The sequence below is a fragment of the Homo sapiens genome, chromosome 6, assembly GCF_000001405.40.
Source record: "Homo sapiens chromosome 6, GRCh38.p14 Primary Assembly".
In the NCBI taxonomy this organism is placed as follows: Eukaryota; Metazoa; Chordata; class Mammalia; order Primates; family Hominidae; genus Homo; species Homo sapiens.
The window spans coordinates 168700908-168722337 of record NC_000006.12 but is presented as its reverse complement, the minus strand read 5'-3'; the positions used below and the strand labels follow the sequence as shown (position 1 = coordinate 168722337).

At 49.2% G+C, this 21430-nt stretch overlaps 1 long non-coding RNA gene across 3 annotated transcripts, besides 2 other annotated features; it reads right to left on the bottom strand.

Annotated features, from left to right (window-relative positions):
- Positions 1 to 3806: 3806 nt before the first annotated feature.
- On the bottom strand, positions 3807 to 16482 carry LOC105378143 (uncharacterized). 3 transcript variants are annotated; one of them, XR_001744472.2, is made up of 4 exons: positions 12910 to 16482; positions 10548 to 12639; positions 9986 to 10138; positions 3893 to 5756 (listed from the first exon to the last, which is right to left on the bottom strand). It is a non-coding gene; the product is annotated as an uncharacterized LOC105378143 (long non-coding RNA). The 3 variants fall into 3 exon arrangements; XR_007059887.1 differs by having other exon boundaries at positions 5450 to 5756; positions 10548 to 10772; positions 11820 to 16482; XR_943296.3 differs by having other exon boundaries at positions 3807 to 5756; positions 10548 to 16482.
- Positions 5377 to 5577: a silencer, noted in NCBI's record as "fragment chr6:169116900-169117100 (GRCh37/hg19 assembly coordinates)". NCBI's record gives its function as "represses an EF-1alpha promoter that drives an FKBP-Casp9 reporter gene in an ReSE screen in HepG2 liver carcinoma cells {active_cell/tissue: HepG2}" and the evidence as "EXISTENCE:reporter gene assay evidence [ECO:0000049][PMID:32094911]".
- Positions 20213 to 20714: an enhancer, noted in NCBI's record as "H3K4me1 hESC enhancer chr6:169101755-169102256 (GRCh37/hg19 assembly coordinates)". NCBI's record gives its function as "activates a minimal SCP1, AML or CMV promoter by ChIP-STARR-seq in naive H9 embryonic stem cells {active_cell/tissue: H9 hESC(naive)}" and the evidence as "EXISTENCE:reporter gene assay evidence [ECO:0000049][PMID:30033119]".

The window sequence follows — 21430 nt, the reverse complement described above, 5'->3', positions numbered from 1 at the left end:
CTTCCTATCCTTTAGGCCTGCATCTATTCCTCCTGTCTTTGCCCAGTTGAAGTAGAAAACATCTAGTCCAGTGTTTTTGTTTTTCAAATGTGGACTATATTAATACTCTTCTTAGGAGGCTACAGTCCTAGCACAATTTTTTTAATACTGTATTTTTATTTTTATGCTAATCTAAACCTAATTACTTTTACTAGTTATGATGACAAAACTTTTTCTACAGTGAAAACGTGCAGTTAAACGGTATCCCTGCAGGCTAAACCTCTGCTTCTTATGTATCCTCAGAGAAATGCAGAGAAGATCTATATATTTTCCACATTTAAAAATGCTCGATGTTACATTCTCACAGACCCCATCCTCTTGGTCACTATTTAGCACTTGGCCTTTTGAAGAACTTTAGGGTTAGTGAGGAAAGGACACTGGGAACTGGGTACTCCCCAAGCACACAGTGGTGTTCCCGTACCTCACAACAGCACTGTGATCAGGGATGTGTGTGTCTCTGGGGCTGCCCTAGCAAAGCACCACAAATCGTGTGGCATATAATAACCAAACTGTGTTTGCCTAAAGCTCTGGAGGCTACAACTCTGAAATCTAAGTGTGGGCGGAGCCGTGCCCTCTGCGAAGGCTCCAGGGCAGAATCCCCCTGGCTGCCTCCAGCTTCTGGCATTTACCGGGGACCCTGGGTGTGCCCTGGCTTGGGGCTGCATCACTCCAGTTGTGTGGCATCTTCTCCCTGTCTTCACAATGCCTTCCCTCTGTGTGTGTCTCTCTGTGCCCAAACTTCCCCTTTTTATAAGGATGCCAGTTATATTGAAGTAGGATTCAATCTAATAATACCATTTAATTTGGTTATCTCTATAAATACCCTATCTCTAAATAGACTCCTATTCTGAGGTCCTGGGGATTAGGACTTCAACATATGAATTTTGGAGGCACATAATTTTTCCCATAGCAATAGGGATTCTTCTTCTTTACAGATGAAGAAATTGAGGTTCAGGGTGTTTAGGCAAGTCCTCAGTCGATGCAGCTCCTAAGTTCCAGAACCAGGCCCCAGACCCTACCTGTCTAACCTCAGAGTCTGTGTTCTCTGTAACATGCGGCTGTCTACTCATAGGCTATTCAAGTTGGAAGGGATTTAATGCTCTATCAAAAAAAAAAAAAAAAGAAAGAAAGAAAGAAATCTCTTTCTAACATTCAGGTCTCTGTATTAGAGAGAGTCTTTTTGCAACTTAGAGAAAGGCACTCTCTTTGGGTGGAAGTACAGAAAAGATTCTGCTTTCTCTAGGTGGACACCGTTCAGCCCGAGCAGATAGACTTACCTGATGTGTAAATGTGACAGCCCAGTCTTCATGTCAGGTGCTGTACATTCCATCCCCGTCCTCAAAAAAAAAAAAAAAAGAAAGAAAGAAAAGAAAATTAACCCAGGCAATTTCAACCCTGACCTCGAATCGGGTGGAAGACAGGAGAAGGATCTTCCACACTTTAAATGCAGGGCAGGCACAGACAAGAGGTTTCTGCCTAATTGCTGCTCAACCCAAAGGCGTCTGCAAAGTCCACAGCTGATGACACAATGAGCGTCTGCATCCCTCACCAGCCACATTTCTAATCTTCCCTGTATGAACCACTGGAGCAGAAACTCACAAACAAGGTTCCCAGAGAATACTATATACACGTGGACTAATATTTGTTTCTTTAGGGATTCTGAATTCTTTCTATATCCATGTCTTCACATTCTTTATTACTGATCAAACCAGATTTTATCAGAGCAGAAGATGTGTACGATATGCTGTTCTTGCATTGCTCTCAAGAAACTCCTGAGACCAGGTAATTTATAAAGAAAAGAGGTTTAATTGGTGCACAGTTCTGCGGGCTGCACAGGAAGTGTGGCGTGGGCATCTGCTTGGTTCCGGGGAGGCCTCCAGGATCTTTTACTTATGGCCAAAGGTGAAGCAGGAGCAGGGGCAAATGAGAGACAGGGCGGGCACTACACACTTCACACAACCAGGTCTCGGGAGAACTCACTCGCTCAAGGACAGCACCAAGGCATGAGAGATTACAATTCAAAATGAGATTTGTGTAGGATAAACATTTGTGAATGTCAAATTCCCGAAGTAATTATGGAAAGATTTCTCTGCCTCGTCCTTGCCCCACTCTCTCATACCAGGCCAGCCCAGGGCATCCCCACCGCTTCCTCCACCTGTGCCATGGCGTTGTCCTTCTGTGAACACTGGCTGGGGCTGTCTTCTTTGCTCAGCCCACCTGGGGTCAGGGGATGTCCAGGTGTCTCTTTTCCTGTCTGCAGTGAGCCCTTGGGGCAGTTCCCAGGTCTCACCCATCTTTGTGCACCTCTTACCCAGCTAGAGGTTTGTCAAGTTGTAGGCACTTCAGGAAGACTTTGAAAACATAATTGAGCCTGGCACAGTGGCTCGTGCCTACAATCCCAGCAGTTTGGGAGGATGAGGTGGGCGGATCACTTGAGGCCAAGAGTTTGAGACCAGCCTGGCCAATGTGGTGAAACCCTGTCTCTACTAAAACTACAAAAATTAGTTGGGCATGGTGGTTCATGCCTGTAATCCCAGCTACTCAAGAGGCTGAGGCACAAGAATTGAATTGCTTGAACCTCGGAGGTTGCAGTGAGCCGAGATCAGGCCACTGCACTCTAGCCTGGGAGAGAGAGTGAGACTCTGTCTCAAAAAAAAAAAAAAGAAGAAGAAGAAGAACAAAAAGATAATAACATATAACATAATTGGATTTTTTCTTTCCTGGAACTTCTTCATGACCTTTTATTCTCAGAGAACAACCATGCCTCAAACACCATTATCTGTCACATTGAAATCCCTCAATTTAATGAAACAGGCATTTTGGAAGCACATTCTATGTGTAGACATCAGGTTAGGAGATACAGGTTATGCAAAAGTGAACACAATGTCAGCCCACATCACCATCCATGTAAGCCAGGATGGCGGGAACCCTCCCCTGGTGGACCCATATGTGTAAACCAAGATGGCGGGAACCCTCCCCTGGTGGACTCATGCGGGTTTGGAGCCTGCCGCACGGGTGTCGGGACCAGGAAGCATGGAGACTTTGCAGCAGTGTGTCTGGATGCCACACGGGCCCCTGGGGGACTCATGTGGGTGTGGAGCCTGCCGCACAGGTTTTGGGACCGGGAAGCATGGAGACTTTGCAGCAGTGTGTCTGGATACCACATTGGCTTCCCAGGGCTGCCACCAAAGCAGACCACAGCCTGAATGCCTGAGAGCACAGGGACGTGTCCTCTCACAGCTCTGGAGGACTGAGGTCTGACGTCAAGGTGCCATGAGGCCCCTGGCCTCCTTTAAGACTCTAAGGGAGGGCCCCTCCAAGTCTCTCCAGCTTTGGGGGTAGCACCCATCCTTGAGGTTTCTCGGCTTGTGGATGCATCATTCCCACCCTGCCTCCATGGTTACACGGCCTCCTCCCCAGTGTCTGGATCTCTTCCCCTCCTATAAAGACGCCAGTCACACTGGACCAGGACCCACCCTAATGACTCAGCCTGATGACAGCTGCAAAGACCCTGTTTTCAAATGGGGCCATGTTCACAGGTTTCGGGGTTAGGAATAACACAAATCCCACACACCTTTGTAGGAAGCACAGTTCCACCCACTTCGGGTCACACCATGTCACTCACACCGTGTCACTCACACCATGTCACTCACACCGTGTCACTCACACTGTGTCACTCACACCGTTTCACTCACACTGCACTCTCACCAATCCCCAAGTTCAAAATGAAATCACAGAGAACCATCACAGAAGAGAGTATATTTTTTCTGCCACTCTTTACCCTTAAGAAACTAAAGAATTAAGAAAAGTCTCCAAAAATATTGATTCCAGCAGCACTTCATGTGAGGTGTCATTGCAAGCCCAAACCTTAAGTTCCTGAGCTTTGACCTGGTAAAACTTCCCGTAGGACTCAAGAAAATCGCCATTTCAGGAAAAGGTATAAAACATTTTGCCACAGTATTATTTGTAGTACTAAAGAATAAGAATTTTTAAAAATAAGAAAGTGTTCATATGTTCAATGAGAGTAAAGAATAACTTTATCGTGGGGGAACCACAGATTGGGCTCCATTACTTACAAAGTAATACTGGGTGGGGCGGGAGGGAACAAAGACTAAAATTGTATATACAGAATAATCTCAATTATATAAATATGTGTATAAAAAGCCTGACAGAAAATGTTAACAGTAGGTTCTCTCTGGGTGGCAGAAACAGAAGTTATTTAAATTTCTTCCATATCCTTGCCTGCACTTCCTTAAATCAACAGTAAACATAAATTAGATTTACATGGAACAAAGGCGGGAAGTATTATTTCAAAGTAAATATGGGTCATTTTCTGACAGCCACACACACGTAGGAAAAATGGCGGGAAACGGTCCAGTGCAACTGTGGCTTTTTGTTGGTTCTGCAGGATGAGTGGATGATGTGACCGCCCAGATGAAAGAGCTCCGAATCCACTCAACGGACGACAAACTGAGAAAAATCAGTGAAAAGAACAGCACTCCAGGCCCACCTTGAAACGCGTGTCTTTGAAGTTTTAAGTGAGGCTGGGTCGCATCTGACAGCGTGCGCCGCCGTGGGGAGGCTGCCTGAGCTGTCTTCTGGCCTCTGGGCCTTCCAAAAATGAACGTTTTAACATCAACGTGGCCATGGACCCACCTGCTGTACGAGCTGCGGTTGCGCGTGTGATTTTCCTCTGTGAGGCAGGAGGCAGGCTAGCCTGGGAAGGGCTGGGGGCCTGGAGGAGGTCGGCAGAGACCCGGCCGTGCATGCGAATGGATGCAAGGGGAGCACTGACTGACTCTCGCACACACGTTCAGCCTCCTTCCAGGTGCTGCTCCTTCTCTCTCTGGACTCCACTCTCCCCAAAATCCCAGGATATGTCTCCAAGGGAACATTTCATTCTTTCCTCCTCAACCCCCCAAATGCCCTTGGAGACCCTCAGTTCTCAGCTGATGGCTTTTCCTCTTGGTGACACGCGGCACCTGCTTTGGGGAAAATGCAGAAGCCACCAAGCTTCCTGAAACATCTTCAATTTTCCCTCTGACAGATGGAAACACCCCCACTCCTGTTGGAGCCCAGGGCCACCCCTCTGGGCATTGCACAGACACCAGGCATAGCGGCATCCCTTTCCCGGACTCCAGAGTCGTGCCCCTGAAATCTGTCTATCCCACAGCCTCCACTTCCCCGCCAGACATATTACCTCAATAGCAGAGACCAAGCTTTAACCTCTTCTACGTTAAAAAATAACAATAATAAAGCTCCTGCCTTAAAAACAAGGATGTCCTGCCTTCGTCCTCTCCTCTCCTTCTCAAGGCAGGCCATGGAGAGACTGCCCACCTCCCCGTGCCCACATCCCCATGCCCACCTCACCGTTCCCACCTCCCCACACCGCTTCCTCCCCTGGCTGCCACTGAGTCTGCTGTTCCCTCCACTTGGCATGACTCTCTAAATCTCACACAGCTCACTCCTTCTTCAGATCCAGGCATCAGCCCCAGGCTGCCTCCTCACCCCTCTGCCTAAAAACACTGGGCTGCCCAGCCCCATGGCTGCTGGTCCTGTTTCCATTTTAATTTCCATTGCAGCCCCTGGCGCTATCCGAGATTACTTATCCACCTGTGGGTGGTGTGGCTCCTGCCTCTTTCCACTGGAGGGGCAGCTCCGTGAGGTTGGAGTCTCCAGCTTGTGCGTGCAACCTGGCCCCAGGAGGGTGAGTGCACCTGTTGAAGGAAGGATGGATGAGCCGGCGGTGACAGAAGCAGCCAATTCCCAGTTCACGTTTTTTGCCTTATTATTGCTTAGCCACATCCCCAACAACTCTAAGTCAATGAAGTTAAAAAAATAAAAACCATGACGCAAGAACCAGGGCATTCTATTTTAAAAATAGAATTCATGTGCCTTCTTAGTTTTTCACACTTGATTTAATGAGCTCACACAAGAGAATTATGAAACCTAAAACCCGTCAGCCCAGCTCTCAGCCTTCCCGAGTTCTGCTAGCATGTGCGGCTCTGTGGAGCCTGGGATGGCAGACACAGGAGATGCCAGCCCTGCGCCTTCAGACAGCAGCCCAGCTCGACGGGACCTGGAAGAGCATGGTGTGGAAACTGAAAGAATGCAGCTGCATCGTTGTCGTCATCCCTATCACCTCATCATTTTCATCATCACCTCCTCCTCATCATCATCCTCATCGTTATCTTCATCCCCATCTCCTCCTTCTCATCATCATCCTCATCATAATCATCTTCATCACCATCCTCTTCCTCCTCCCCATCATCCTCAACATCATTTTAATCACCATCCTCCTCCTCATCCTCATAATCATCTTCATCACCATCCTCTTCCTCCTCCCCATCATCCTCAACATAATTTTAATCACCATCCTCCTCCTCCTCATCCTCATCAATCGTCTTCATCACCATCCTCTTCCTCCTCACCATTATCCTTATCATCTCCATTACCATCCTCCTCATCATCATTCTCACTGTCATCTTCATCACCATCCTCTTCCTCCTCACCATCATCCTTATTGTCATCTCTAGCACCATCCTCCTCCTCCTCCCATCATCCTCAACATCAAACATCTACATCACCATCCTCTTCCTCCTCACTATCATCCTTATTATCATCTCCATTACCATCCTTCTCATCATCATCATTCTCACCATCATCTTCATCAGCATCCTCCTTTTTCTTCTCCCCATCACTGTCATCATCAATCATCTTCATCACCATCCTCTTCCTCCTCCCCATCATCCTCATCACCATCTTCATCCCCATCTCCTCCTCCTCCTCATCATCATCCTCATCATAATCTTCCTTCAACACCATCCTCCTCTTCCTCACTATCCCGAACATCATATCCATCACCATCCTCCTCCTCGCCATCATCCTCATCATCTTCATCACCATTGTCCTCCTCATCATTATCTTCATCACCATTGTCCTTCTCCTCCTCCTCACCATCATCCTTACCATTAATCATCTTTATCACCATCCTCCTACTCCTCACCATCATTCTCACCGTTATCTTCACCACCATCCTCCTCCATCCCCCCATTATCCTCGTCATCATCTTCATCACCATGATCCTCCTTCTCCTGATCATCTTCTCCATCACCATCATTCTCCTTCCTATTATGCTCATCATCATCTTCATCACCATGGTCCTCCTCCTCCTCACCATAATCTTTACGATCATCTCTTTCTCCATCCCCCTCCTCTTCACCATCATCCTCACCATCATTTCCATCACCATCATCCTCCTCCTTCTCCCCATCATCTTCATCATCTCTATCACCGTCTTCCTCCTCCTCCCCATCATTCTTACCATCATCTTCATCCCTGTCTTCATCTTCCTCCTCCCCATCATCCTCCTCCTCATCTCTATCACAATCCCCCTCCTCCTCATCATCATTCTCACATCATCTTCATCTCTGTCATCCTCATCATCATCATCCTCATCATCTCTATCACCATCTCCCTCTTCCTCCCCATCATTCTCACCATCCTCTTCATCCCTGTTATCCTCCTCCTCACCATCATCATCATCAATGATCTTCATCACCATCCTCCTCCTCCCCACCATCCTCATCATCATCTTCATCACCATCATCCTCCTCCTCCCCATTATTCTCATTATCTCCAATACCATCATCCTCCTTCTCCCCATCATCTTCATCATCTTCATTACCATCACCCTCTTCCTCCTCACCATCATCCTCATCGTCTTCATCACTTTCCTCCTCATGATCTTCATCACCATCATTATCCTCATCCTCCCTCTCCTCACCATCATCCTCATCATCAATCATCTTCATCACCATCATTACCCTCCTCATCACAAACATTTATTGAGCACTTAATCAGTGCAGGTCACTTGGTAATTGAGCCCCACGAAGCTCCATGTGAAGCCAACATCAGAGCTTGGAAAGACCAAGTAACAAGTAACTTACTAAGGTTCCACAGCTGCTAAGGCCTGACCCAGGACAAGATTGAGATGCCCAACCTGTGCCATTGGCTATGCTGCCATGCTGCTGCAGTCCTGGAGAAGGTACCCTGTGCCAGAGAAAGAGGCCTTCTCTTTTCTTTCTGCCCAATTATGTGTTGTGGGTGCAATGGCATCTGTAAGGAGCACACCCCCCTGCATGGGCGTGACCACAGATGACTGGACGGGCACTTGGCCAGGCTCTGAGGCAGAGATGGCCCCGTCATTGGCTTCAGCAGTAAACTGCAGTGTCATTTAAAGCTGGGTTCTCTGAATCCCAGGGACTGGACAGGGTGTCCCTGGCCACTAGGGGGCTGGGCATGGGAAGCAGGAGGCTGGTAAGAGCAACCAGCCTCCATAACCTTTGCCCAGCCAGCCCCAGTGTGATGTGTGTCTTATGCTCCAGGCTTCCTTGTCAGATTGAGTTGGGGCACAGATTCCATGGTGAAGATGTTTGAAAGCTACTAAACCTGATGATCTTTAAGGGCATTTTTTTTTATTTTGATAAATAAAAAGTTTGATTTAGGTCCAAGTATCCATTATTTTACCAACTCCAAGTAACCACTAAGTAGCTGTGAAGGGTCAGCTCTGGTGCAGCACCAATGGTGTGGACAGCCAGAGGGCAGAGCTGCAGAATCTGTATCTGACAGGAGACCCCCGGGTGAAGTGCAGATGGTGCCTGAGGTTTTGGTGCCTGAGGTTTTAGTTCCTGGAAAAATCCCAGAGAGATGAAATAAATATTTCCCTCTATAGGATATGTGCAGCTAGAAAATGTAAATCTTCAGGTGGTCTTTAAAATTAAGAGATACATTTTTTAATAGAATGAGCTTAGAATTGCAGATTGCATAGAGAGACCAGACACAGCAGTTCACCACCATGACTGGGCACCTGGCTCGGTCCTGCTCCTGAATGAACCCTGCTAGGATGGTTTCCCTCCTGGCCATTAGCCCAGTGGACGTGCTTAGAGCTTTTCTGTTTCTGCTCACAGGCCAGTTTGTCCACTGAGGAATCCTCGGCTCTGTCTTCTCCTGTGCCTCCAGTTTCCCCACATCCTGGCCACGTTGTGCTGTAGCTCTCTGCATGTGTGTGTCTCTCCTTGCTGTGCTGTAGCTCTCTGCACACACGTGCCTCTCTTCCCTGAGCTGGATGGCCTCTGCCATGTGCACTGTGCATGCCTGTGCAGTTCCCTTCTGACTCTCTCGGGGCTACCACAATGCAGCCTGACACCTGCTAGATGTCCAGTGTGCAGCAAACAAGTATTAACAATTAAGGACAATGACCTGCATTCTTGTTGAACAAAACTGTGTATTTGAAAGTCTTCCAAATGATTTCAAACCATCAGAAAGTGATTGGCAAGCAATTTTTGACAACAGATTTTTGAGTTTACTTTCTCCCAAGGGTCCAGCTTCTATATCTATATTCAGATTCATCCCTACAGGAGATTGGAGTTTGGCATCAGTGAGCTATCAGAAAAGGCAAATGTCAGTGGAGGCTTCCTGATGCGGTGGTGAGAGTCAAGGCATTAAATCAGCCAAACTGGAGCCAAGCCATCCTCTGCTCTAACGCCACTGTGACCCCAATCGGGTCTCCAGCCCTGCAGCTCTCCCAACACTGGGCCAGTGACTCCCACTGCAGGGCATGGAGGCCCAGGCACCTGCTCCAGTGAGGCAGAGCTTGGCAAGGGCTTCTCAGAAGACAGATGGGCATTCACCCTCCTTCCTGTCCTAAATTCCTCATGATACTTGCAGCAAAATCCCAGGCCACTCCAGGAAGCTCTGGCTATCTGCACAAGCTAGAAAGTCATTAGGAATGTAGAGATTTGTCTATTCTGAAATATTAGAACATACTTACTTCAAACATGGCATTTCCAAAATGGCTTTTCTATGAGAGAAGTGACCCACGCCTGCCCTCTTGTCCCCTGACTCCCCAACACCCAGCACCCCGAGGCCCCCAGACATCTCCCACCTCATTTCTGTGTCCTCCTTCCAGGGGAGTCTCAGGACCTCCAGACTTCCGAGGCTGTCTCTGCCTGGCATGCTGTGTCAGCTCATCTCAGAGAGAGAAGCTCTGATCTTCCAGGTGCAAAGGCCACAAACCTCTGGTGAGTGTCACCTTCACCTGCCAAGGTCCCCAGGGCCAGTCATTCTCACCGCCCTGCTATCTCTGAGGCTGCACTGCACCACCCTGGTCCTGCATCCTTGCGGACTCCTGTGTCCCTCGGCCACTTGGCCCATCTCCTCCCATAGCTAGGGCAGTGCCTGCCATCTCATCATCTGCCTGAGACCTTCTCCCCTCCTCAGGGTCAGGGCCATTCCCTTGGGGTCTTGGAACCACATCCCCCTTCCCTGACAGCCACAGGGGCTCCTGACTGTTCCCAAAACAGGCCAGGCAAGCGCCGGCCTCAGGGTCTTTGCAGGCACTGCCCCTGTGCCCGGAGGGTGTCTGTCCCACAAGCAGCAGGACAACCCAGATATCCCTCCTGGGGTCCGTTATGAGAGCCCTCCGCTCTGCCCTCCCTGGTGCTCACCAGTGACTGTGCACTCTGCGTGTTTGGTGCCACTGTCCTTCTCACTGGCATAGAAATGCCTCCAGGGAGAGATTCTGCTCTGTCCGGCGGCTGTGACTCAGGGGCACAGAATTAATGAGTTGGGCTGAGGAACGTGGCTGCTGGCAGAACCCTTCTCACTGTAGCTTCGTATCTGGTAGAAATCTTTTTCTTTTTCTTTTCTTTCTTTCTTTCCCTGCATGTTAACTTAAAGAGGGGGGCAATGAAGAGAAACAGTTCCTGGAACTAAGAGGCACTTGATATTATTATTATGAATAATGAGTATAAAGCTTTCATTCACTGTAAATATCACATGTGTAAATGCAGAAGAATCCGCGTTGCAGACAGGATGGCCAGCCCTGGAGGAGCTAAGAAGGGCGGGAGGGAGATGAAGGTGTCTCCCTCTGCCTCACTAGCTTTGAAGAAAAGTTTATTTTTTTAAATGTGCAATTCTCCCATGGAAATTGGTCAAAGCTGCAATTCAACATCTGACCTCTGGGGCGTTAGAATAGTCAGAAGGACACTGTTTTTTTTGTACTAGTTCTCTTTTTAAAGTTTATTTTTGTTCCCAAATGTGAAGTCATTAGAAGCAACTTAATTGCAAGATTCAGTGGTTCACCTGGGCAGGTTTACTAAACTCTAGGCTAATCTTCTCCAGCCCTGCCAACCATTCAGCTTGAAAGCACATTTGGTGCCTCAATAGACACATAGATTTTTCCTGGACAAGGTTGTTATGGTTCCGTTTCATAACATTTAACTACATGTTTGATGAAGAAACCACAAAACCTCATGAACCCATATGCAATAATGTCAGATGAAATCTGCTGATTTTGTTCTCGGCTTCAATAACACCATATGACTTCAGCCAAAACCATAGACATTAAGACAGAAGCTAAACTTGAGACCAAATGACCATTTGGAGATGGCACTGACTGGCGTGCGGGGCTGATGGAGCCGTTCCCGTGAGCACCCTGTATTCACAGGACAGTTGTTGGGCCTGGAAAGGTGACTGGCTTGAGGTTGTCACGCGGTTGCCGGTGGGATTGCAGGCTTTGCTGTGAGACTACAGAAAATCTATGGTTTGATCAATATTCTGAGAAGTATAAAAACCCAGTAAATGGAGCCCTTTGGAGATGGGGTCCCTCACAGCCCCGTGTGGCTCAGATCCCTCCCTCTAGGCAAAGGGCACTTGCCCAGCCAAGCAGCGAGAGAGGAGAGACAAACACCCAGCACTGTTTTCAGGGTGATACTCACCAAAGGCAATAGCTTCCTTGAGAAGGTCGCCTTGGATTATGAAACTCAGTTCACCCGTTCCTGTGAGGAAATGGAACTTGAATGCAAATCCCAGCCCACAGACCATTCAGCCGGTGGAGTTCTGTGCATGCGGCGTTCAACCATCTCGCTCAGTGGTTGTTATAAAAACAGTGTCCAGCAATGATGCCTCAGAGCCAGCTGGCCCCTTGAATTTCCTGCATGCCTTTCTTTCATCCCAGGGTGAAGAGGGTGGACTTGGGACACACAGCACCTGCGTGGGGGTGGGCAGGAGAGCGGACGTCCCCATGGCACCGTGATGAGGACCTGCTGGCTCTGTTACCTTGGGCAGGAATGAGGCTGGCTGAGGGATAGAGTGCATCTGCAGGTGTGGTGTTTGGGTAATTTGCTCTGTGCTCCCTTACTTTCCCCCAGGAGGCCCCTTCACCCGCACCCACTGGAGCCCTGTGAAGAGTTCTGACGAGAGTCAAAGGCAAGTTTTCCAGTGAGCATCAGTCTCCAACTCAAAAGCAAATGCCTCCCTGACCCCTGACTGGCCACCTCCCAGGGCCCCACATGAAGACCCCTCCCTGCCTGCCTTTCCTGCTTTCAACTGAGAAAGGACACAATGAAGGAGGGAGGGGAAGAGATGAGAGGAAAGTCAGCGAGGAAGTTTATTGGAAATCATCAAAGCAAGTCATGTTCTGCGTCCTTCTTCTGAGCAGACGGGGGGCTCTGCATCTCCATCTCAGCCTCTGCGGGAGGGCAGGGGCCATGACCTTGCGGCATGTGCTGGTGACAGGGGCCTTGCAAGATGACAGATCTGGGTTTAGAGATGGAAAACGGTCACAGGTGGTAGATGGCACAGAGCCAGCATTCCATGTAGCAGCCCCAGGTGCTCCCAATCCTGCCCTCTGTCCACCGCCTCGTGCCCCACGCCCCCTTCCATCAAACTGCACGGCTCTAAGAGAGTCTCCCACTCACCTAGCCAGGTCTCCCAGTTCCATCACCTTGCCCGGATCCACCCACACATTTCCCCAAAGATTGCAACCCTGACTTCAGGAACCAGCGGCTCCTTTGCTCTCACACATACTTTGTCTCCCTGTGGCTGGATCTGTCCTTCCAAATTTTACATCATGGCGACATCTCACTGGTTCTCCATGGAGCTTCCATTCAATTTCTAATTTTGAACTGACTGTGTCTCTGTTTTCTGGAAATAGCAGTTATATTTATTTATGACACAATATAACAAGCCTAGACTTTCAAGATGATGTCGAGCAGAAGTCCACTGCCCTAATAAATGTCAAGAGGAAAACCCAGAGAACAAGAGACAAAGTGATGTCACCTCAGAGTTGCCAAAGCAATGCTATTGCCAGTGGACTGGTCCAAAAGTAATGGAAAATCCTTGCCTGGGTGGCCCAGGCTTATCATCAGTGTTCTGTCTCAGAGTCCTTCTCTTAACTGCCCTACACTGACCTCCACAACTTCTTCCTCATAACAGAAATATCAAATCATAAATATAATTCCAGAGAGGTATTTAGTAAATGAAAAGACCGTACTAAGTGAAAACGCAAAAATATTTATGTAACTGATATCATGAATTTAAATAGTGGCTGTAGTAAGTGTTCATGCTGAATTTATTACTGGCAATATGTCATTATTTTAGACACCGAAAGATTAAAAATAAAGAGGACATTGAATGCATACTCTCATTTTTATGTCAATATTTTAATAACCACAAGCATAACTTACATTGATTGATGTGCCTAAGCTACGCCAGGCACTCTTCCAGACTTTATGGAAATTAACCACTTAATCTTCCCATCAGTCCATGAAGCCAGCTTTGCTAGAGCAAGTGAACTCGGTTTTCCCTGGAGGTAGATATTTGCTAGTGAGCTGTTCTTTGGCCAAATCACAATTGTGTTTTTGCACTCCACACCCAACGGCAAACATGTCTCCTATTCCCATTTTTCCCTCATTATCACGCAGCAGCATTCAAGCATTGAGTTATTAAATCACAGGGTTGACAAACAAAATGGCAATTTCTAGAAAAGCATAAAGCATAAAATGTTTTTATTTTAATTACTTCACTGATTCTTGCTAAAAATTATCATGCCCATTGTAATATTTTGAAAAAATACAAAAAATGTATTCCAATCCCTCCAGATCCATTACCCAGAAACAGGCAAAGAGCGTACTTTACTTAACATCCAATGTGGCTTCATCAAAAATATAACTGGTCCTAGAAATGGCCAGGACCCACGAAACTCGACTTTTATTTTGCACCCAGGACGACAGCATGGTCCCTCTGATTTCCTCTCATATTCTGTCATGACTTAAAGGTGACGTTAGACAAAATGTATTTTCATGCCGCCATGAATGACTGTCTTCTTGCACCTGTCTGTTTTACGTCCAGTTAACTCACCTCTGGGAGCTAAGGTGAGATCCTCTTCAGAGGAAGCCAGGCCACAGCGACGTATAGGCATGCGTGTTCAAACGCACTGAACCGTGGCTAAATCTCACATCTACCCCAGAAGCTAAGCATATTTTGTCTCTAAAATTGTGGCCCTGGGGGATATGAAAGGGTTGGAATCTGACACCTTACTTCTGAGAATTCAAACTCCAGGGAATTTTATTCCATCTGGGGAAAAACAAACAGTAAGGCTCTCCATACCATCATGCTTGTGTTCCACAGGAAACCTGGCATCTCCTCTTACTTGGCCTGTCTTAGATGTGGGATGAATTTGTGAGATAATCAAAACCACAGTTTGCATTATGGTGGCATCCCTGACACTTCTAGAGGAAGCTCTAACAAGTACCTTCATGAAGGTGAATCCATGCATAGAAACTGTGTCAGCATCTCCAATCTGTACCTTTGAACCCATCTCAAATCTGCACATTTGAGACTTTTCAAATGCCAAATGCAGTATTTCCTTAATGTCTTTATAAAGCTCCCTGCACAGATGCAGAGGCAACTGAAGCAAATGGGGAGGGGGGAGGGATAGCATTAGGAGATATACCTAATGCTAAATGACGAGTTAATGGGTGCAGCACACCAACATGGCACATGTATACATATGTAACAAACAAACCTGCACATTGTGCACATGTACTCTAAAACTTAAAGTATAATAATAATGAAAGAAAAAAGAAAAAAAGAAAGTTATAAAGATCTAATACAATTCCATTATGAAATTACCACTTTATGTCTCAGAAAGTAAAATGGCAGCTTCAAAGATAAATGCTGCTCACAACAATCAGTCAGAAAATTCTTGCCCACAGCAAGCAGCAGAACACAGGGATGCACGTTCAAAAAGACTCACGAGTAGCTTTCGAAGCACTCACATTCGCTGTGTCTGTAAAGAGTTAGGAAGGTTCAGGGATCCAAGGGCAGATCTGGCAGGAGAAGGGCCATCTTGAAGGGACAGGCATGAAAACCCAGGAGTGGTCTGCACAGCTCCCACCGGGAACTCAGGGGATCCTCACGGGTGGGTGTGGGGAGCAGCCCCGTGTGCACCCTCCTGGCCTGGAGAGGTGCTCCCAGGAGCTGAGCACGTGTCGCAGCCCAGCTCAGTGCCGTGATTTGGAGAGCAAGCTCCCCGAGCCCTGCAGTGGCTAACACAGGAACCCTCGTTGCCCTAGAAAGTTTCAAGAATGTGTCTTGAACTGAGAAGACACGTGTTTTAAGAACTGAGAATTCCCCTGAACTGCCATGCTCACCTGGGGTTCTTCATCCTCAGGGAACTGGTCAGCAGGAAAGCCTGGCACAGGCCAGTCGTGGGGCCATGCGGCAGCAGCATTGGCTAATTTCTGAGAACTCATCCCAAGGGAAGCGTCCTGCGGAGTCAACGGGCAGCATCTCCCGACAGGTGCCCAGAGCAACCAAGAACACGCAGGACAGCAAAACGCCCGTCAACCAAGAACACACGGGACAGCAAAACGCCGGTGGCTCCTCATCTGTTGAGGACTCTGGCTCCGGTACAAGTTTGATGAATAAATATCCTCAACTCAATGACTAAAGGCATAGGGAGGGTTACGCGAGAATCAAAACACCCAGCAGCTGCCAGAACGCTGCCTGCTCGTGCAGTAGAAAGTGGTCCTCACGGCAATCATCTAAAAAATGCAAACACGGGTCGTCCTTCACCAGCTCCTGCGCTCCTCCAGACCGAAGGCTGTGGGTTTTGTCACCTTCCTGACAACTCTGTGATAAACTATTAGGAATGTCTTATGGATGGCGAAATGGAAGCCCAGAAATGCTGAGGGACTGCTCTACGGGCCCAAGGATACAGTAAGAGCCAAGACTCAACCCCAAGCGAGTCTGGTGCTGCACTGGAGCGCTCACCACCTGCACTGTGCTGCCTGCTAATGGGATGTGTCACTGGTACCCCATGAAAACCTCAGGGCCATCTGGCGGTGCTACTTTTGTTTGTAAATCAACACCTTCTAAAATCATCATCACAATAAAACAATCTCCTTCTTAGCAGCAGCTATGAAGGTGAAGGCAGGCGCCATTTCTGCATCACTTACCGTAAAAAGCAGCCTGATTATCCTTAAAATGTCAGGTTTATCATGGGAGAAAGAGCACAGGGCATGTCATCCAGGCAATGGGATGTGTGAATCTGAGAAGTGGCTCTGAGCTCAGAGCGTGTGTTTCATACCAGAGGACTCCGTGCCCGCCCTGGGCGCTGCGTGCTAGAGAGGACTCCGTGCCCGCCCTGGGGTGCTGTGTGCTGGAGGACCCCGTGCCCGCCCTGGGGTGCTGTGTGCTGGAGGACCCCGTGCCCGCCCTGGTGTGTTGTGTGCTGGAGGACCCCGTGCCCGCCCTGGGGTGTTGTGTGCTGGAGGACCCCGTGCCCGCCCTGGGGTGTTGTGTGCTGGAGGACTCCGTGCCCGCCCTGGGGTGTTGTGTGCTGGAGGACTCCGTGCCCGCCCTGGGGTGTTGTGTGCTGGAGGACTCCGTGCCCGCCCTGGGGTGTTGTGTGCTGGAGGACTCCGTGCCCGCCCTGGGGCTCTGCGTACTGGAGGACTCTGTGCCTGCCCTGGGGTGCTGCTTGCTAGAGGACTCCGTATCTGCCCTGGGGCGCTGTGTACGTTTACTTTTCTTACACTTTCTAGTAGTTTCCTCATTTGCAAAATATGGCCAATAATATTCCTTTTGGAGATGCATCAAACGGACTTGATGATGTAGTGCAAGCAGAGGCCCCAGGCATCCCGAGTGCTCCCACTCGAGTTCCCAGGCCATGGGGAGCCTTCCAGTCTTACGGGCCTGGGTCAGTGGTGTCCTCAGCTGCCTTCAGGAAAGAAGCTGCCACCCTTGCTTTTATTCACTTGTGTTACTCCAAGTGATGGTTATTAGCAGAGGTGGTGAAATGCAGTAGAATGCAGAGATGGGGTGAGGGTCGGCTTTGCTGTAGGTAAGCAAGTTTAGCAAATAGTTGTGCATTGGAACCAAGAGGATAATTGTAAAGCCTCTTAGTCCAAATTATTAAGAATAAGAGCTGGATGTACATTTTACTCCAGAATACATAAAAACAAAAAAAGACTGTGTTTCCTCTTCCGTCCCTCTGTCCCCATTTCTGCCCTGCTGGTCACAGCGGGGAGGGCTGGGGAGCTGGGAGGAGCCTCTGGGAGGGGGATTCCAGGTTGACATGGGAGCTCCACCCTCCAGTCCAGTGCCCTGTGGGGTTCGGGCCACTTCTGGTCTCCAAATGCATAATGTACTGTAAGCTTTGCGGTCTTGCTGCAAACGCGAAATGGGACATATTAGATAACAAGTGTTCTGCCAGTGCCAGAGTGCTGCTTGCCTGTGAGGTGTAGTTAAGATTATTTTGTCCACTTGCCTGTGAGGTGCAGTTATTATTATTTTGTCATGAAGGAGGGGGGAGTACCTTAAGAGAGAAGCCCATGGCAGACTGTTCCTAGAGGATTCCTTAAGGGTCTCAGGCGAAAAAGCCACTGACTGAGGGAATACATAGAGCCAGTGTTCTTCTCCTTAATAAATGTTACTTCTACGTCAAAGGAGTCACTGTATGGTGGGCTCCAAAGCCATGTTTGTGGCCTTGTGCGTGGAAGCGGATCATCGCAGCGCAGCTGCTCAATCCCAGCCCCCGAAAAAGACGCTCAGGCTGTTTGGTTTCCCTGCCGGCTTCACTGTGCCCCCCGAGAGGAGCATCTCTGGCACCAGCAATAGTCTGTGCCTGCGGAGGGATCTAACCGCGGCCAGAGCGGACCGAGTTCTCCTCAAGCTTTGCATTCTATGAGATTCTATTAGCCCTGCAAACGTGACCCAAGCCACCATCCAGATGGCCACAGCAACTGCCCTCCCCACGTGGCGGGCCCGCCCCTCATTCCACTCACAGCTCAGCTGACAGCCAAGCATGAAAATGAGGTCAGAGCCAGGATGCCCCTTTCCAGGAAACACGCCAAAAACACAGAAGCCCGTGGAAGACTCCCAGGTTCAGCTTTACCCTGGTTGGGCTCACAATTCGCCGGGCTACAGCAGGCCCACGCCAGTGGCCCAGAGGCAATGGTCAAGTTCTAAGGAACTCTGTGTGTTGATTGATGCCATGTTGGAGGCTTGATACCAACCAACGTGGAAGTATTTATACCACTGAAATTGGTAGATGCTGAAAACCAGGACTTATTTTTTCCTTGTCTTCTTTGTGTGTGGAGAGAGGTGTGTGCGAGAGAGGGGCCGGTTGTTAAACATCTACCAGCCCCCACAGCCTGCAGCCCCATCTCACAGCCCAATGAAGAGATCTGCTCCTACTTCAGTTTCCTGCCAGTGCAGGGAAGGCCTGCACCCCACGTGGGGCTGAACTGACAGGGAAAGGCTGAACTCTCAGTTTGAAGACTGAAGGCTAATGCTTCACAGTTTATTACCACCTCTTGGTGGGTTTTACATTTAGAGCTCAGTTGCCATTTTCATTTCAATATTTGTGGCCAAAGGAAAATGGAAAAGGAAAACATGTCTGCTTCATGTTTTGGTTCCAAAAAAAACAACAAAAAAACCCTTTTGATTTCTATGTGTATTCTATGCAATGTTTAGAAGGAGGACAGGGATAGTTTTCTTTCTCCTGGATGGTGAGAGTTTGTGGGTGGATTATTATTTCTCCACTCTTACCAGGATCACAATATCGCCAGAAGGACATTTGGCTAAAAGGTGCAGGACGCTTGTTTGGAGTGTGAATGGCAAATGGAACCAGAGTCATGGGAGGAGAGTGAGAGGATGCGGTCACAGGAATGAAACCAGGAGCCCTCTGCACTCAAGCGAAGGATGGGAAAGAAAATATGAAAAGCCCAGGGGCACCCAGGAGAAGGTCACTGGTGGCAGGGCCTGGCTGAGGTCCTGGGCTATCAGCTAACCCAGGAGAATGTCAATGGTGGCAGGACTGGCTGAGGTCTTGGGCTATCAGCTATACTGATAAGATGGTGAGAAAAGGCAAGGCCTTCAGGGCTGAATGGAAAGCTACCAAAATGAAGAGCAATGCAGGAAAGACCACCTGTCCCCCACCCAGGGTGAGGCAGCGTGCCCTTTGACAGGGGAGCAAGGCTAGGGCTGGCACTAGGATCTGCTCGCATCCCAGTGTTTCCTGGGAGAAGGGGTCCAGTCCTACTGAGGCTTCATGAGGCCCTTTTGTCCTCATGTTCAGGAGCATTTTACACAGAAATCCTAATAAACTACGGTGGCACTTAGTCACGAGGTAATTTGGGAAAACATCATCTCTTCAAAAAGACAAAGGGAACCATGCAAGGCAGCCATTCCCCACCTTTTTGGCACCAGGAACTGGTTTCACAGGAGACAATTTTTCCCATCTGTAAGTTCTGGGGAAAAGACCTGAAGCTCTGGAATTGTTGTTGAAAGCAACCTGGACTCTCAATTGGCGATGGCCTAAGGCTGAACTAGTCGCTCCAGCCACGTGCATATTAATTACTAACTGCACCAGATACCGAGACTGTGTGTGAGAGACTCAGGCCCTGCCCTTAAGGAAGGTACCTGCTGGAGGAGGTGAATCTACATATGACACAGAGGAGGAGGGTAGAGAGTGCTGTACCCCAAATCCACAAATGACACAGAGGAAGGGGGTAGAGAGCGCTGTCCCCCAAATCCATGAACGACAGAGAGGAGTGTGGACAGCGCTGTCTTCCAAATCTAGGAGAGACAAATGGGGGGGTGCAGCAGTGCTCACCCAAACATGCAGAGGTACAGCAGGAACACCACGGAAGCCATGCCACATCGGCTATGCTGGGGAGAAGCTGCAGGACACGAGGCCGTTGAGCAGGGCCAGCATCCAAGTGAGCGCGCCCTCCTGATGTGGGGAGAATACCCATTCTATACCCAGGTGTGTCTCCCGTCACTTCAACACTGGAGAACATAGTGTGGTCATGGGCTTTCCCTCGTGGGTCGTCTTCTCAGCAGGCCTGATGGGGAAGGGTGTCCAGGAGCCTCTGTCCTGCCCGAATCTTGTGCCCCAACAGGGCAGGAGCCCAGCTCGCCTCTCCCAGGTGATGGTTTGCTTGGTGGCTTGGAGCAGGGAAGGGCACTAGTGGTGGAGGAGGAACTGGAGTTCGGTGCAGTAACCCAGCCCCTGCTGAGCGCTAAGCACTCCACACCCAGTTCCAGGTAAACGACCCAGCACCCCAACAGGTGGACATTCATCTCCATTTCAGTAGTTAGAAAATGCGGGGAGAGACATTTAACAAGTTACACAGTGACTAAAGGTGGAGGAGGTCAGAGTTCTGGAGTGACACAGCCCCTAACCCCTCATGTCACCTTGCTGTCTCCTAACTAGACTCGCCTGAAAGACCAATTTTGGACCACGAGTAGGAAAATGCCTAGAGTGGCAGTCTCTGGAATCACTCAGAGCATACAGAAGGCAGATTCCGTCTACCTGTTCTAGCAAAGGCTGGTTTCTAAGGTAGCACCATGGATGTCGAGATAGTTCTGTGTTAAAGACAGGTTCAGATGCAGTGACCAAGCTCTCCATGCCAGCCCAGGCTGGTAGCCACCACCATGATGCCCTCCCTGCTTACTTCCCAAGGCCCGTTGCCTTGAGCCTCACACCTGTGCTGAGTCTGGCCCCAGTCTATTCTCTGCCCACAACCAGGGCTCCAGGCTATCCACACAGAGAGAGGCCTGGGGGCTACCACCTGTCTCCAGTCCCAGCATTATTTCCACCATGTCATGGTGCTGCCAGATGGAACAGGGGAGAGGCGGAGAAATGGGGAGAGGCTCAGGAGTGGGGAGAAGCAGAGGAACAAGGAGAAGCTGTGAGACCCCTCTGCCCTCATCAGTGGGGGGAAGGCGGTGCTAGGGGGAGGATAATGACTGGACTCGGTCCCGGCCTCCCGACACCTCAGGAGCATGACTCAGGAGAGGAGAGGTGTTTTGCTTGGCAAGAGGGGCAACCGATTTTCTTTCCAGGCCATAAGGGCACTGGGTCCAGGGAGCTGGCAGGAGGGCTGCTGTGCTCAAGGGAAGGGCTCTGGGCGGCAGGCCAGGGCAATGGACGCAGGCAGTGTGCAAAGGCACAGATGCACCTCTGCTCACCTGCTCAGCCTCTAACACACCTGTATGCCAGACATTGCCACACCGCCCAGGTGTGCTGTTCCTG